General features: G+C 39.3%; 1 protein-coding gene and 1 pseudogene across 5 annotated transcripts in view, besides 1 other annotated feature; one reads left to right on the forward strand and one right to left on the reverse strand.

Annotated features, from left to right (window-relative positions):
- Positions 4,137-4,336, forward strand: NREPP2 (NREP pseudogene 2; annotated as a pseudogene).
- ATP6V1H (ATPase H+ transporting V1 subunit H) overlaps positions 6,983-18,204 on the reverse strand; it is a 127,703-nt gene continuing 116,481 nt past the window's right edge. For all 5 annotated transcript variants that reach the window (NM_213619.3, NM_015941.4, XM_006716455.4 and 2 more), the window contains one exon: positions 6,983-7,464. In NM_213619.3, the coding sequence (NP_998784.1) occupies positions 7,404-7,464 (61 nt within the window). In that variant the 3' untranslated portion in view covers positions 6,983-7,403. The remainder of the gene's footprint in view (positions 7,465-18,204) is intronic.
- Positions 15,262-15,311: an enhancer, noted in NCBI's record as "active region_27358". NCBI's record gives its function as "activates an Ori minimal core promoter by ATAC-STARR-seq in GM12878 lymphoblastoid cells {active_cell/tissue: GM12878}" and the evidence as "EXISTENCE:reporter gene assay evidence [ECO:0000049][PMID:35858748]".

An 18,204-nucleotide genomic window follows, 5' to 3' on the forward strand; every position in this document is an offset into this window, starting at 1 on the left:
AAAAGTAGACTGTTAAATTTAACCTTGTTCTATATTCCAAAGGTAGGATTTGGCTCAAATATTGAAAATTACCAGAAAGTGATGCTGGTTCAAAATGAGAAACATTCTAACTGGACAGGTTGCCTGTTGCTGGCATCAATCAAGTAGAAGCAGGATATTCACCTGCTACATGAAATTATCATATTAAACTACGTATAATTGTTACAAATTGTTTGTAATCCTCAACTCACACTAATTTTAATTCTCACAACTGCAGATGCTAAGCATTGTTGGAATGAATGGCCTTTATAATCTTTTCAACTGCGAGTCCATATACTCTGGTACATCTGCCCCCCCTTATTCCCAAATTTAATCTATGCTTATTCTAATATGGACCTTATACATCAACAATGATTAAAAATACCACCTTATAGGCTGGGCCCGGTGGCTCACGCCTGTAATCCCAGCACTTTGGAAGGCTGAGGTGTGTGGATCACCTGAGGTCAGGAGTTTGAGACCAGCCTAGCCAACATGGCAAAACCCCATCTCTACTAAAAATACAAAAATTAGCTGGGCGTGGTGGCAGGCACTTGTAATCCCAGCTACTCAGAAGGCTGAGGCAGGACAATCGCTTGAATCTGGAAGGTGGAGGTTGCAGTGAGCCGAGATCATGCCACTGCACTCCAGCCTGAGTGGCAAGAGCGAAATTCCATCTCAAAAACAACAAAAACAACAAAAAAATCCTTTGAGATTTCAGTTTAATCATGATGAACTAAATACACATATTCATTTCTGCTTCCTCTGCAACCCCACTTGAAAGGCTAGAAGGGATTTTTTAAAAAAGGTTGGGTGGGACAAACAAAAGAAAAACAGAAGGAATGAGCCCATGAGGACAAAGAAAACAAGATGACAGCAAATGCTCTCAGGAAAATTTTGGTAGCAGGAGAGTTGGTGAACAAATGATAACAGGTTTCTGCTTTTTCCACTCTATTAGCAGCCTGTGAAGAGCTGGGTGTTTGGGAGTGGTGACAGAAATAAGCCATGTAGCACGCCAGAAAACGTCCTCTCCACAAATCTGAGACCTAGAAACAATGAGTTTCCTGGAGGTGGCCATGCTGAAACACTTACAATTCTGGATGCCTAAGGGCAGGAGTCCTGGATCCTTGCCAGTTACTGTAGCTATTGTTATTGGTGGGCTTAAAGTCTACTTTGTTGCTACTTATTTTTTGTCTTTTCTTTTCTTTTTTTTTTTTTTTTTGAGACTGAGTCTTGTTCTGTTGCCCAGGCTGGAGTGCAGTGGCGCGATCTTGGCTCACTGCAACCTCCGCCTCCTGGGTTCAAGCGATTCTCATGCCTTAGCCTCCCAAGTAGCTGGAATTACAGGCACATGCCACCTCGCTCGGCTAATTTTTGTATTTTTAGTAGAGACAGGGTTTCACCACATTGGCCAGGCTGGTCTCGAACTCCTGACCTCAGGTGATCCACCCATCTCAGCCTCCCACAGTGCTGGGATTACAGGCGTAAGCCACCATGCCCAGCCTCCTTGCTACTCATTTTCTGTGTGTCTTCTCTCTCCCATGTTCTTCTCCTGCACTCTTTTGGGTTAATCAAGTATTCTTTGTATTCAATTTTATCTCCATCAGTGGCTCTTTAGCTAGCTATACCTTGCAATTTCAGTTTGTTTATCATTTCAGTGGTTGCTCTAGGGAATTAAATACATATCCTTATCACAGTCTACTTCATATTCCTGTTATATCACTTCCTATCTAATGTAATCTGCTGTCTTAACAAGAGCAGAAGTTCGTTGCCTCACCATGCAACCTTTGTGCTATTGTTTCAAATATTTTATTTCTACATGTTACAAACATTATTATTTGGTGTTCTTTGTAGATTGGTTCTTTCAACCGACTTCCTGGATATATTTTTTCCTCCTTTGTAAAGGGAAAAAGACACAGGTCTACATAGTACTGAAAGATAAAAGCATCTCAGACTAGTATTCCTTCAATCACGGAAGTGTTTCTTCCACTTTTATCCTATTTTTGGAAGAGTAATCAACACTCTAAGAACTAAAAGAGAAGGGAACTCGTGTCAGATGTGCATACAATGCTAAAGGAATTTAAAATTATTTACAGCTCCTTCTTCTTTCCAACTGACTTTTTCATTGGAAATTTGTTCACAAAGTTAAAGGCACATCTCTTAACCAGAACAGAACATTTTGTACAGCAAAACAAGAGAGAAATTTCAAACCAAAAAGAGATTTCATCACAAGGTTCGTATTTGGGAAGTAACTTTGCCATCTACCAACTTTGAGTGGTTTCAAAATTTAGTCTAAAATATTCTCATTTTCAAAGGCAAAGAATGAGAACAGAGAACTTTTAATTTTCAGATAAATCAAATGCATCAAAATTTGGATCTGTGCTTTCCAAGATTTAAGAGCTAGAGGTTAGAAATTATTTAAATTTTAATTATATGAAAATTAACACCAATTACTCTGATGCGGCTAAATAGAAAGTAGAAAAAAATTTTAACTGGAGACATTCTGTAAATTTACTATTTGTGCCTGGCTAGGAACGATGTGTGGGAATGAGCTTCACCTGCCAACGGGAGGTGCATCTTTTTAAAACATGCATCTTTTTAAAAATTAGAGTCAACAAGACCCAAAATAAGAGTTTTCTAAGAAAGCAAGATATAATTTCATTCTCCCTTTTATGAGAATGTCTGTATGCTTCTCAAAATCTAAAAATCAAAAGTTTTCTTTTTAAAAGGTACTATGTATACCTGCTGAGACTGGATATTTTAGCAATTGGTTTATTTAGTTTGGTTACTGGTAAACTTTGTATAACCTATTATGCCGTCAACAAAAAAAAGCCAATAAAACAATACCTCAACTCTACATTGTTTTTTTTCCCAGTGTATTTTTAGTGACATTATTCCTGACAAATTGAGAACAGAGGGTCAATGAGACACAATAGGATTTTAAGACAGAAAGGGAAGAAATTGCCTCCTATTGGAGAAGGCATACAATACTTAACTCAGGGTTTTATATGTCACTGAGATGAGCAATATCCAACAACTTAGAAAGCTCCCTCATATACCGGCTTGCAAAAAAGAGACACGTAGGTGACGGATTCAAACCCAGTCGAAGAGCATGGACTTTTAACTCAACTGACAAAAAAAATAAAAAATAAAAAAATAAAGCGGGCGCAGGTGGAGACTGACCACAAAAAGAAATGTACCCCACCAGCATCTGGATTGTCACACCCAGGTCCTAAGACTGCCAGTCTCAAGGTTTGTTGTTTAGCCCCTGTGAAAGCCTCACACGGTCACCACAAAGTGTCACCTCAGTTCTGTGATCCATAGCAGTTTTACTCCATTAACCGTGGCTGGCCTGAAATGCCCGGTCCTGGTCTTGCTTAGATGAGGACTTATGAAACCAAGGAAAATGTCAAAATAAGTATAGAGAAAATGAAACTCAACAATCCTATACTGATCACATTGTGTAAATTGTGTTTACACAGGTGTAATAACACATTTTGTAATAACTGGGCTCTTTGTTTAGGCTGATTTAAAGATGCTTAAAAATGCTTAACAGTATTTTTACTACCTGTATCCCTAGGTCGAGTTACCTGCATTTGACTCATAAGCAATTTCTAAGATTTGGTTTGTCATATTATAAGTCTGCTCCATTAGGTGTCTGCAGTTTAATTGAACATGTAGGTGGTATTATAGTTTAAGGAGGGTTTAAGCATTGAATGTTAATCAAAAACATTGATAAGCAAAGGAAAAATGAAAGTGACTCCTTTCATGACTGTTGTATGCTCTGTAAGTTGGGTGTAAAGGTTTAAGGTGGAAAAAACGTACCTCGAGGGAATTAATTTTAATATACGAGATAATAATTAAAGCATGATTGGCCGGGGCGCAGAGCAGCAGGTCCGCTTTGTCTCCCCGGGGCGCCGCGCGGTGCAGTTGGGGCGGCGCGGCGAGCGGGGCGCCCGGGCGCGGGTGCGGGGTGTCGGGGCGCGCGCGCCTGTTGGCCGCTCGCCGATTCCTGCCGAGTGTAGAGAGGAGAGGGAGTGAACAGGGAGCGGGGCTTTTGTCTGTTGGTCTCTCTGGACTGAAAACAGGGAGAATAGAAGCCCAAGACTAAGCTTCTCAAAATGGTTTACTACCCAGAACTCTTTGGGTCAGTCAAGAACCATTTCCAAACAAGGACATGGAGGGAAGGTTTCCTAAGGGAAGACTTCCTGTCCCAAAGAAAGTGAACCGCAAGAAGAACAATGAGACAAACGCTGCCTCCCTGACTCCAATGGGCAGCAGTGAACTCCGCTCCCCAAGAATCAGTTACCTCTACTTTTTTTAATCGTAACACCTCCATTTGTATTACATATGGTGTATGGGTATTGATGAGGTCATGGTATTATATATGGGATTTTTTTCTGTGTAAATCATTAAGTATAAGAAGAAACTATGTGACTCTGAGCCTTGCTTTAGAGAATTTACAGTGGACAAATAGGTATCATCAAACCAGTTTTTAATCATTCTGACTCAAGTGAAAATGCTCAGAATTTCACACCGTGAATCCACGTTTACAACCCTTACAGGTGGGCCTTCAGGCCTGGTTCGCTACAACGTCTTCCACAACTCAAACTCCCACCGTGCTCACACAACTGGTCCACTCCTGAGTCCCCCCTTTTTTTTTCATTTAGAATGTAACAAACCTAGTAGTTTATGCAATTGTCTGTATATCTCTATATTTTATCCATGTACTCTTTTGATGTATAGAAGTAGTTTGAAACTCATTGTTTCCTTGTGGTAACTGACCGAGATGCTGCCACAGGACCTGAGACACTGATGAATGGTGCTATTTTGGACTTTCAACATGCTCCTTGGCGAGGTAGCTCTGATGGAGTTATTTTTTATTTCCATGTTCTAAGAAGGTGTTGGTACTCTGTTTCCCTGAATGTTGTTCTCTAGACTGGATTGACTTGTTTTCCTTGTGTCTTCAGTGTGGCTTTCTTCCTCAGTGTTGTAGGTTGAGTGAATGCTACCAGAGTGTGAGAGACGATTGTCTCGTCGGCTGGCACCCACAGACATGCAGTCACGGTAGTGGGAGCAATCACAAAACTGTAATTTACTTACCAAATCTCTTCCTTTCCGTTGCCTCGCCTGCCTGACTTAGAGAAAGAAAAGCAATAATTTTACAGGCATTTTGAGGTGTCTCTTTGGGTTCTTTCTGTTTGAAACGGTATTTGTGGAAAAAAAGAGCAAAACCTTTTTAAATAAATTCCCCCTGAAAAAAACCCAAAACACTGGCATCTGAGTAGGAATATGAAAATGACACCTTTTCCAAATATTAAATTGGAAAACAATGTCTACAAAATCATGGTACTTTTTTAAAAGGCAGAGCATTCTTTTTTGGCAATTTTGATAAGCAAGGTGTAGATTTACATCTTTGTCCTTGCTCCCAACGAAATGGATAAACAAAAATAAATTACCATCTACTCATGGAATGTTGTTGTGTTAGCCAGTCTGAAAGCCCACCTTAATTTTTATATAACTGTCTTTTAGCTCTTCTTTTGACAGGGCAGGCCTTGTTCTGAACTGTTTCGCTTCTGACTGTTAAACACCGATGACGCATGCACTGCACTTCTTTGTTTTCTTCTTGCTCCCCCATTGGCCTGAGTTTCTTGTGCATTACTCCTCTCCCTCCTTTGTTAGAATAGGTATATCAGCTGTGTAAATAGAGCAAGAAAACAGTATTCTGCATCTGTGGCATTTATGTAGAGTTGCAGCTGTATACTGCTGAAAATGCAGGCTTTTGTAACAGTGTGATCTTTACCGATGCACTCATGACAAGTACCCAATGTATTTTAGCTATTTTAGTAGTATTTGTTCAATAAATATGCAAGCTGTAAGGTAAAAAAAAAAAAAAAATTAAAGCATGATTACATGGGAGTGTTGCTTCCCATGTACAAAAGCACTTCTTAGGAACTAAAGCACTAATACTTTCTGCAAGAACAATTGTCACTGATTTCTACTTTAGAACTATAGGGCTGTGCAAAATGAAACTAAAATCAGAAACTATGACACCAAACAATCCATGTATTCTTACGAAATTCAGAAGATGGCCGTGTCTCTGGTTACTAGGACTTCTAGAAATTGAGTGCCTTAAAATCCTAAAAATTTTACAGACCATTAATATATTAACATGAAACCTGATCTTCTGCTAATGTAGTATCTGTAATTACTATGAGAAACGTTCTATTTAATGATTTTCCATGTTTCTAAAAGTAAACTACACATAAGCAATTTTTAAACTTTTAGTAAAAGAAAAAATTGGTTTGATCACACTACCTCTATTCTGGCAAACATGAACCCCTTTAAGGAAAATCATTCAAGTCATATGAACCCATTGACTAATTTATGCATCATTTTAACTAATTTCTTCCATAGGATTTCTATGTTGAAAATGAAACAATCTTCGATTCTTAAACAGGAGATGGATTCTACGAGTGGCTTTCTATAGGAGAAAAAACTTACTAGAATAAATGTTTTATTAGCTTTAGCACATCTACTCAACATTCATAGAACTGCTAGGAATAAAAAGTGAAAAAACATGAAAATGAATGAAAAATGAGACTCAGAGAGATTAGCTGACGTGGTTCAAAAACAAAAGCCTCAGAGGAGGCCTGCATGCCATGTATGTACTGCTAAAGGGATGTGGTTCTAGAAACGAAAGGGGAGAGAATAAAATATATATTGGCAATGCTTAAACCAAAATGTATTAAGACAAAACAAACTTAAGGCACTAAAAACCAAGGATAAAAGTACTGAAAATAAATCTAATGCTAAAACTTCTCACTGAACTCCAAAAGCAAATCTTTTGAACCACAGTATCATGTTAAAAACTAAGATTTTACAGCTGTGCTACTACTAATAGTGTCTGTGTGTGTAGATACACAGATGATATATAGATGAACAGAGAGCTGCATAGAGACATAGATTGATAGAGCGATAGATTTTAAAACATTTATTTGCCATTCACTACTTTGCAACAATTCTCCCAATTTGGTTTGAAAAGAGACAACAGTTGACTTTTGTTCAAAGTCCAAGTAAAGAGAGAGGCCATGTTTGGAGTGAGAATCCTTTAATAACTATATTTATTTCCAGAGAACAATAAATACAGAAATTGCAAGCAGTATATGTAACAGTAATATTTTCTTTAAATACAGAATCACCTACTTTTATACAACTTAACAGGCAAACATGTTATTTTGTTGTTGTTGTTTGGAAATTAGCATTGGGAAAAGCTATATAACAGAGGAAATTCCAAGTAAAATCAAACAGTGTTCACTCTTAACTCTAAACACAGTGCTCCCACTACTGGTTCTGCATTGAGGCGGAGGGGAAGGCCAGAGGCAGGCTTAGCTTCGGGCGGCAGCGGTCTGGGGCTGCTCGGACTGGAGCTGCTTGCCAAGGTATTCCCTGAAAAAAAAGAATGAAGTAAGGAGAATGAGAATTTCAATAGCAAAGAATCACTTCCAAAATTGAAACACATTATGCACTGTCATATATACTTACTTTAACATCCAAAAATAACTAAAAAGTCCTAGAAAATTAAACTTTTCCAAATTTCCAAAGTACTTGTGCTGTATGAATTCTACTTCATGTATCATACACAAACAAGTTATGACAAAGACAAACTAGTCATTCTCCTATTTTTATGAATAACTTGTAAAGTTATTACGATTACACAAACAGGTGATTACAAGGAAATGTAATTACTTCCTGGGGAAAGACTACTTTCCTGTTCAGATAAAGGTCTTGTTTACTGCTACTGCCATTTCTGCAATCTAAGAAGTTCAACATCACCTCAATTACGATTCTGAATGACCTCATAAATGAAAAACAAATGTCCTGCTATTAGAGAATATGTGTATCTTCACCCTGGGATGACACAAGAGTACGTGAAAATAAATCACCAAAAGTAGCATTGGGAGTCCCCACACCATCAGGAGCTACTGGTCTGGGGCACTCACTCTGCACCAGCACAGTCTAAAGCCCACACAGAGACGGTCAGCCCAGAACCACAGAACAATCCCAGGAGCTGAGTAGCAGCACTCACTCCACAGATGGGGCAATGGGGCTCAGAGCAGTGGTCCCCAATCCTTTTAGAGCACTCTCATTCAGAAAATAAGCATGTGCCCACAGTATGTGCATATTTAGCTCTAAAGTACATACAGACACCACTGTGAATTCCAGGACAGAAAACAATCTTGTCCCTATTTTCCTTTGAGGCACTTGCCGAAACTTTTGTTTTAGAACCAATTAGGAAGAAGAAAAAGAGGCTTTTTAAGAAAAAACTATTTAAAAGTTTTCCTCTTATAAAAAAGCATGAGTTTTGGAATAGAGACGTGGGTTTACGTTCCAGCTCCATGACCTCCTGGGTATTCCCATGGGGGCTCTAGGAGGCACTGGGTATGGAGGCCCTGGCTGGGCTGCAAGCATCAGGTACACTGTCAATACCATCGTCTCTTGCCTATCGCCTATCAACTGTGTGAGCATCGCCAAGAAACCACCTTTGGGGGCCACCGATGTACACAGGTAAATATGACTCCGCCTCTCTCCACAGTGGTCCAGAAGAGGGCAAGCATTTCACCTGAGCTGCTCTCCCCCTGCTACTGCCGCCTAGGCCAAAGCAGCAAAGATTTTAAGACAGAAAAGACAGAAGCACTGGGAATGAGGACAAGAAGGAAATGTCACGCAGTGGCGGAGCAGCAGGGAGGAGGAACTGGTGGCCCAGAGCATGTGAAGTGTCACGCACCACTCCCCCCAATCCAAAGGCTGTTCATTTTTTAATACCATGAGACTGAATGAAGCATCCCAGGACATGAAAATGGGTTATGATCTTTTCCATCCTTCAAGGAAAGTTCTTATAACTGACTCATTAATTTTGGATGTCACATTAAAGTGTTTAATATTCTTGTGCTACCAGGAACTACGCTGACATAATTTAGACAATGGGATCTTATTTCCAACCAGAAGTTAAGTTCACGCAAAGGCTGAAAGGGAAGCCATCCTATCATCTTTGTTAGACAGGAAAAACAAGAGTTTACAGTCACTATCAATGCTGCTCCTCTGGGAATGCCTGCAACTTGGGAGCATTTGTGGTCACACAGATTTGTTTTCTTGGTGGTGGAGGTAATAATATTTATGGCAAATTTCCAGAACTTATAAATATATTTTTCCTACATATATGTGAGAAATCAAGCCTGAAGTTAGATATGCTTCATTTTAAGGAGGTCTTCAAATATTTCAATTTTAGACTCTTTAGTGTGGAGCCTTAGAAAACATTTTAAAAGTGTACTCAAAGACACTGTGCCACTCTCCAATGACAGTAAGACGTGGTTCTCTCCCTAAAGCACCAATGTCAAGGACCAACTTCTAAATGTAAGTTTCCAAAAATGACTAATAAGAATGTATGGGAAAGCCTCCAGGAGCTCAGGCAGGGAACTGGTAAGTTATCACAAAGGGTCCTGTGCGTCTGGTCACAGACAGGCTCCCACCTGCTCCATCCCTTCCAGAGGCCTGAGGGTAGTTCATTCCCCATATCAGACTTCACTAATACTTAGCAGACAACAAGTGGTGAAGATAATTGATTTCTTCACAAAAGAAACACTCTTGAAGTGGGGCCAAAGTAGGACAGTAAAACCTAGCACAGGTGCGCTGTTCCAGCAGAGAACGTAAAGACACATGCAGCCACAGCTTCCACCCTACCATCTTCCATTCATTTTTTTCTTCCTGGTCAAAGATATAAATTACAGGTAACATCCTCTCCTACACAATTTTTTTTTTTTTTTTTTTTTTGAGACAGGGTTTTGCTCCATTGCCCAGGCTGGAGTGCAGTGGTGCAGTCACAGCTCACTGCAGCCTTGACCTCCCTGGGTTCAAGCCATCCTCCCACCCCAGCCTCTTGAGAAGCTGGAACTACAGGTGCTCACCACCATGCCTGGCTAATTTTTGTATATTTTGTACAGACAGGGTTTCGTCATGTTGTCCAGGCTGGACGCTAACTCCTGGGCTTTAGTGATATGCCTGCCTCAGCCCCTAAAGTGCTGGGGTTACAGGCGTGAGCCACCATACCCGGCCAGGCTCACTCTCGTTTATTCGTACATACAAGGTAGCCCGGAGGCATCTACTTCTTCCTGACCTAAGTACGTGACACATAGAAAAATCAGCACCTCCTTTCTTCTGCCTAGTTGACAGTTCATGTAATTTGGATTTGGGGGAAGAACAAGGACTCATATAGATGAAAAAGGGTCCAACTAAGAACCTGCACATCAGGGGCCCCAGGTGGAACTTTGTGAGCCTGGTTTGAGTATTGTAGGTCAAAATGCCAAAAGCCCAGCAAGAGAAGAGCCCAGACAGGATTCATGGAAAGAAGAATACAATTTCCTCCTCAAGCTTTCTTGAAATTGTTGTTTGTTATGGCATGTGGGGTGTTAGATGGCTTTCTAACATACCAGGAGGAACTGAACTGTGGCTCCACTGAAAAGGGTATTAAAAACACCTAACCTATACGAACTTTGGGGAAAATCCACTCCTTCGAACTTGGCTTTTATGTATTTTATTCTATTTTTATTTTTTTAGAGACTGAGTCTCACTTTATTGCCCAGGCTGGAGTGCAATGGTGTGATCTCAGCTCACTGCAATCTCCACCTCCCAGATTCAAGTGATTCTCCTGCCTTGGCCCCCCGAGTAGCTGGGATTACAGGCACGCACCACCACGCTCGGCTAATTTTTGTATTTTCAGTAGAGATGGGGTTCTGCCATGTTGGCCAGGCTGGTCTCGAACTCCTGACCTCGTGATCTGCCTGCCTTGGCCTCCCAAAGTGCTAGGATCACTGCACCTGGCCAGCTTATAAAATACTATAGCTTGCTCCCCTGAATGTCGAATGACATTATGTAGTCAATGAAAACATTCCCAAGACTGGGGGACACAAGCCTGCCTCTGAATCCTCTGTGCCAGGCACAGGGGGTCCTGCCATCGAGGGCCTGAAGCTGGGAACACAGGATGGCTGTTGCCATCTGGACCGCGTTCCGAGCCACCATGGAAGCTTTATCACAGGTATGCCCACACATTCTCCCCTCTCATTTTAGAGCACCCTGTGAGCTGGGTATTATTAATATCTTCTCCCTTTTACAAAAGAGGAAACAGGGCCTCAGAAAACTTCATTAACTTGCCCAAGAGCTAAGTGAGCAAAGCGCCTACTCAGGGCTCTGGTCCTATTCTATTCCAGAGCTGCCTGGCTTCCAGTAAGAGCTCAGAAAGGTGCAGAAGGCAGACACTTCCTTTTTCATAAATTAGAAAACAACAAGTGGGTGTGAAAAATTTCTTCAGGTTAAAATTACACTACTGTCAGGCAAAAGCAAAAACTAGTATAGATTTTACCTCAGGGGATAATAATATATCTAGAACAAAGGATGCAAGGAGATCTTTTGTGAATTAATCTGGGTATTGAGTCATCCTCAATACATGAAGATCAATACAATAAAATTTCAACTTATAATTCAGTCAAAAGGTGCCTGACTTATACAAGCAATCTATAGGAATGTGACATTAAATCTTTGCTTCTGCCACCTAAGATGCAAAATTTGTGAGGTGCAATATTTTTCTTCTCTTTAACTTCATCCACACCTGAAATCTCCTGGGATCTCAACATCTCTGAAACTGAAAAAAGGGCAGTCTGAAAACCTACTCCCCTTTTTAAAAACCCAAGTACATAAACGGCTCACAAAAGAGATCATACTGCTGCAAAAGAGTTTACATCTGATGAAGAAACACTGAAAAACTGACTTCCACTTCCCACAAGGCACAAGGTGCCTGAGGCTTGACAGGGGCATTCTGAAGGTGACTGACTATCTAGCTTCTATTCTGCTAGGAGCTAGGGCACCAGGAAGCACTTACTTAGCTATAGTAACTCTTCAAACAACAGGAAGACCATTACCCATTCTAATCAAATGCCTTACCTTCACAGTGTATTTAGTTGCTTAAAGACTCAAACATTACAAATGTTTCTTTAAAACTATAATTGAAGACACTGACTATAATAGTGTTTCAACATGCTAACTTTACCTATATAACTTGACACATGGTAACTTCAGCTGTGTAACTTAGTGATAGGAAAAAAGTGATTTTCTACTGACAAATATATTAATCAATGAAAACTACTAAGTCTCTTTTATTTTCCTTTTTTGGCCTTGCCTGTCCACAAAGCCAAGTAGAAAACCCACTGTTAGCAGCATTTTTGTACTGTTTTCTCTAGTCTTCCTTTAGTGTGCAAATTTTTCATAACTAAAATCATAATGTTCTTGGAATTCTATAGCCTACTTCTGTGGGTTTGTCATAACGATCATTAAAACTACAACTGAGTCATAATTACGTTTCTTAATCTTTACCTATCCTGTTGTGGAAAACAAGCTGGTATAATGTAAATCATTAACAAACTATTCTTTTCTAAATATATAAACACAATTTATCTTAGAAAATATAAACTTTATAGTTGTTTATAATACAGATTTATATTTGGTAAAGGGGAAAAATAAATCATCAATAATTTTACATAGCTCTGCTTTCTTTAATGCTAACTCACTATAGTTTAGTTATAAATTTAGCGATTCCTCTGGCTTTTATCATGATTTTGAACTCAAAGCAAACTTTGTTTTTATGAACTGAAAAAAAACAAATTTTGTTTTTCCTACATAACAGCTGAACCATATAAAAACCACAGTGCCCTCTCTCATCTGTATCTAATTTACAAAAACATTTAAATTCCAAGAGTAAGTACTATATAGTCCAACTCTTTCTACAGTATTTTTATGTCAGCCTAGGAAAAACAGTATTTAACATCACAATATGTACCATTTTTTAGTGCCTGCTAGTTACTAAGCACTGCACTAGCTGCTTGACATACATTTTCTTATGTACTCTTCACAAGAATACCCATAAAGGTACAGATGAGCCCAATTTATAGATACGTAACTCGAGTTTAGCAATGATAACTGACATGTTGTAAGGTTAGGACAACTAGATTAGTGGGGAGTGTACTGGTACCAAGTCTAATTTCAAAATTCATAGTTTTAACGACTAATAGTACTACCTCATGGTACATTATTCTACCTCTCACTGGGTGGAGACATATTATTGTACAGCTGGGAGAATAAAAAAGATTAAGAACATCACAGTGCAAATCCTCAATTTATTTTCTCAAACATATTTTCATAATCACTAGACACTTCACCTTCTAACAGCATCTGAATTCAAAGACTAATAGATTAGCAGTCTCCCTAAAGAGGTGATCCATGAAATTAAAAAGGAAAAAGAGATCAGTGATTCTAAAAGTCTATTCGAGTCTATTTATAGGAGTTGTAGTCCTAAGAAACAAAAATGTACATTTTAAAAGAAATTGCGTTAAAGAGTGTATTCTAAAAGCAATTTATGTAAAATTTGCAATAACAAAGTTATTTTTTCCTACAGGAATTCCACTAATCAAATCTTTTCCTTTTTAACAAGCTGTAAAATCTAAATGCCACTAAACAAAGTGTGCGTTTCTTTATCTCTGGCTATGCTCAAGAGTTGTCCTCTTCCCCTGCTACTACCAGCCCTGTCACAGATCGGCAGCATCTTCTGTGCTTCATGGCTTTTCCAACGTGTGGTTATGATGGGCAGGCAACGCACTGAGCCACTCAAAGCATTGGAGTTGGCAGCAAACACTCCTTTACCTTTTAAATGCTGGTTCCTGATCAGCAAGTGGTTATAATCAAAAGCAGCCTGCACAACACAGGGCATGACCCTAGCCAACTGCACTACATACAGATCCAGTTATGCAACGTGCAGTGTGGGAGAAATGCCTGTGCAGTTATGAGGACTTCTAATAAGAACGTTTATTTTCTATTTATTACAAAGATAGCACGTAAGCAAAGTCCACATTTAAGACTTATTGCAGACCTCTTTTTCTTGAATTATATTTAGAAAGACTGAGAGCGTATGACAGTGGAGATGGTGTCCCATTTATATCACCTTCCACTTTTCAGATCAGTTCCTGGTATAAACTAAGAAATCGATGATTGTTGAATAAACGGTAGTTGAAGAGTCCTACAGGAGAGTTAGACCTGGAAAAGGATGCATCTTTCTCCTAAAGGAAAATGTGCTGCAACAGCAGTAGAGACAAAGTCTTCAGCAGTTAAACCTACCAACTACTCCATAATCTAACTGCGGAATTGCTCAAACAAAATTTAAAGTTATTTTTCATTAGAATCTGCGTATAACATAAGAAAGCTCAACTAAATCCACAGTGAAGAAACAATATTTTAGAAGACTAGTTCAATGTTTTAATGATATGTAGTAGAAAGTGAATTAAATCAGCTTTATAATTATACTTGAAGAATCTCCTAGCCTACAAAATTATTCTTTAGAGAATCCATTTTCCCACAAGATATGCAAAAACTAAAACAAACCACAACACGTGGGCCAGATGTTTCTTCAATATGAATTATAATCACCTGAAATGAGTCTCAGAGCTACTTAAAAGAATAAAGCAGATTATACAACTTTGGCACACTACATAGAAGGTGACAGAGGTTTTTAATTTGTGTGTGTGATTTTGTTTGGTAACTAAGAATGTCAAGGATAAACCTGGGAAGTTGTTGGCCTCCTCCCTCTGATTTCTCCTCCACATCCAACTGGTATACAAGTCTCACAGATCCTCTCTCCTCCATATACTGAATCTCTCCCACCCTCCTCACCCCTGATCCCACCTCTCACCATGGCTGGATTGGATCTGCAGCCTCCTTACTGGTCTTTTCCCTCTAGTCTTTTACAATCCAAAATCCAGTACCCTCCCCACAACCACTGTCTCTAAAATGGCCTTGCTAAAATGACACTGTTATTTTACCCCTCGGTGGTTTTCCACAGCCTTCAGGAAAGAATTCAGAACATCAAGGCAAAGATGGTTTATCGTGATGTGGCCACTATGCATGTCTCCAACTTTATTTTGGCTTCATAACAGACTCCAGCTGTCTGGTAATTCCCCTGCTGGGTGAGGATCTCCCTACCTGGATGTGTTTGCATGCACAGCTCTCCCCCACACTTCCTCCTTCTGTTCACAGTCCCCATCTCCTCTCTGCCCAGAACCCTCCTAGGCCTAAGCCTGCTCTCCACGTGGTCACGTGGCCGTTGAGTCCTTCCCATGGGGTCACAACGCAGTATGTGCTTGCTGCCTCACCGTGGGATGAACCATCTAGCTCTAGCTTTACTCAAAACAGTAAACAGAAAAGTTAGACTTGTTTAAATTTGTAAATCCAATATAAACTTTACAAGTAGGTGATGAATGGACCTACTATCACCAACCCCCTCTGTCAAAAACCAGTTTTTAAATTAAATTAAATTTCATTTAAATGCAATCTACAATTTACTATTTTCTAAGTAAGCTAACAAAAGTAGTATAACTACTTCAGTTGTTTCATTTTCTTAAACATTTCAAACATTAAAACAAAAATCCTGGGCAATGCCTATGCCATCCGAATTATCAAATATTAACTTTCAAAAACCTACAAACAAGGGATTACAAGACTTTTCTCAAACTCTGAAAGGAAGAAGGGCATTAAAAGGTCCGGAAACCCAAGCACAACCACAGCATTCTGAATTATCTGCCAGTGGGGTAGGTCATATGGCCCCCCAAAACCTAAGAATTAAAATCAAAGCAATTATTTATAATGTAGTACAGATGAGTATAGATTTATAACTCCTGGGGAAGAGATTGCTAATGTTCCCTAATATCCTTTTTCTCTCCTTCTTCCTCAATAACAGAACCCTTTCATCTTAGTATGCCACATAGCCTATCAGAGGAAAGATTTCATTTCCCAGTTCCTTTGCAGCTACATATGGCCAGAAGACTGAGTAAGGGCCATACGATATAAGATGGAAGTGTTGAGAGGCAACTTCCAGGAGCCTCCCCACGGCCTGGAACACCCCTCCCTCCTCCCCCCTCCCCCTCCTCCCCGCCCCACCCCGACAGCCAAGAGGACGAGGCCACGCCCCAGGGACGGCAGTGCGCTGAGCTGAAGAAGCCTGGATCTCTGCGCATGTCTAGTTCTGGTCTGCCCAGCCCACCCCTGGATGTAAGATAAAAACAAATCTCTCTCTCATTTAAGTCATGGTATTTGGGGTTTCTGTTACATCATTAGATGAACCTATCCTTCCGATTACTGTTCTCTTGAACAAAAATAACTATCCTTGAGACATAACCTTGTCTGCAAGAAAAAAAAAAAAATAACAGCACCTATACTAGATATACTTGCATTAAAGCCAGTGTATATGTGACTAGATCAGTCAACCTGGATTTAAAATATATTTAGGTAACAGCTTACCTACAAACTTAAATAAATCTAGACATATGACAATAGAACTAATATTTTTTCCCAAATATTGGAATTCTGAAACTTTCTGCTATGGTTTGAGTATCTGTCCCCTTCAAACCTCATGTTGAAATTTAATCCCCAATGTGGGAGTATTGAGAGGAGGGGCCTTAAAGAGGTGACTGGGTCATGAGAGCTCTGCCCTCATGATCGGATTAATCCATTCATGAATTAATAGATTAACGAGTTATCATGAGAGTGGGACTGTGGCTTTATTAGAAGAGGAAGAGAGACCTGAGCTAGCATGAGCGGGCACTCAGCCCCCTGGCCATGTGACGCCTGTGCCACCGTGGGACTCTACAGAGTCCTCACCAACAAGAAGGCCCTCAACAGATGCAGCCCCTCAACCTTGACTTCTCAAACTCCATAACTGTAAGAAATAAATTCCATTTCTTTAGACATTACCCAGTTTCAGGTATTCTATTACAAGCATCAGAAAATAAACAAAGACACTTTGCTCAGTGGTTTGTCTGTGGTTTGTCTAAGCACGCAGCAGTCTTGACTCAATTTCCACCTGACAGCTAATCTGTCATCTAGGATGCCCCATCTAATTCCCTTACACAAAGATGAGTGGAAAGGCAGATTGTGATATCAGGCCAGAACCAACAAAATAAAGTTTAACAACATATGACAGAGAAAATCTTGAGTGCCCAAAAAGACAGTCAGCAAGGTTAAAATACATTAGGACCACATAATACTATCATCTACCCCAACTGGGAGATTAGCACAATTTAAACAAAGAGAAGGAAGAAAGGAGAGGGAGACAGACAAAAACAGCTGGGAGAAAAATGCCAGAGTATGATGACTTGCTTGTATGTTCTCCTTTATAAAGAGCTCTAAGTTTCAAACTGCATGTTAATGATGTTCCTAAAAGCATAATATATGAACAATTTGGTCTGAAGGGCGCTGACCGTTGACAAGAAATCATTTAGTGGGAAAAAACTAGGCAAAATTTTTAATTAGCAAAATGTAAAATAAATCAAAACTCTGTTTTAAACATTTTAGACCACAACTTATACTCAAAACCATCCAAAGATTATTCCATTAAAAACATTAATACAAGCCACATAATACAAGTTGCCTATTCTTTGAAAAAGTTGTTACTCTTTCTAGTGCTATGCCACAAATAAGAACACTTTCAACAACAGTAAACTGCTGTATAGACATCCCTTAACATCTACTTTTATATTTAATAATCAACCTTGATTATATACCCATACTTTATATTTGCTCTCATTTAACATGACATAATGGCAAAATAATTTCTAACAATTTTTTCCAAATTGGAAGCTTTTTTCCCTTAAAGCTTCAAATTAAAAATTTATTTCAGGAAACTAACTGGTCCTTAGCTGCCACATTATGAAAAGACTATTCTTATACAGTAACAATTTTTTTAAGTATATAATATTTTAAATCTAAGGTACTTAAAATTTTTGATTTTGACAGAGATTTCAACAAGGTTTCAACAAGATTAAAGTAAATCATGACTATCAAGTTCTGAATAGATACTATTCTACCCTGCTACCCAGAGGAACTTCAGAACATTATTTGAAGAACAGAGATTCAAACAACAAATGCATTCTATCACCGCCAAGTTAGTTCTGTATATTTGAAACCCTAAGGCATAAAAAAGAGAAGTATCTCTAAACAGGAGAACATCTACCCATCTACTGTAGAGATGTGTAAAGATTCAAAAGATAACATCCCTTGTTAGTGCCTCAATAATGCTAATTCTCTTCCCTCCATCAT

This window comes from Homo sapiens, chromosome 8 (assembly GCF_000001405.40).
Source record: "Homo sapiens chromosome 8, GRCh38.p14 Primary Assembly".
In the NCBI taxonomy this organism is placed as follows: Eukaryota; Metazoa; Chordata; class Mammalia; order Primates; family Hominidae; genus Homo; species Homo sapiens.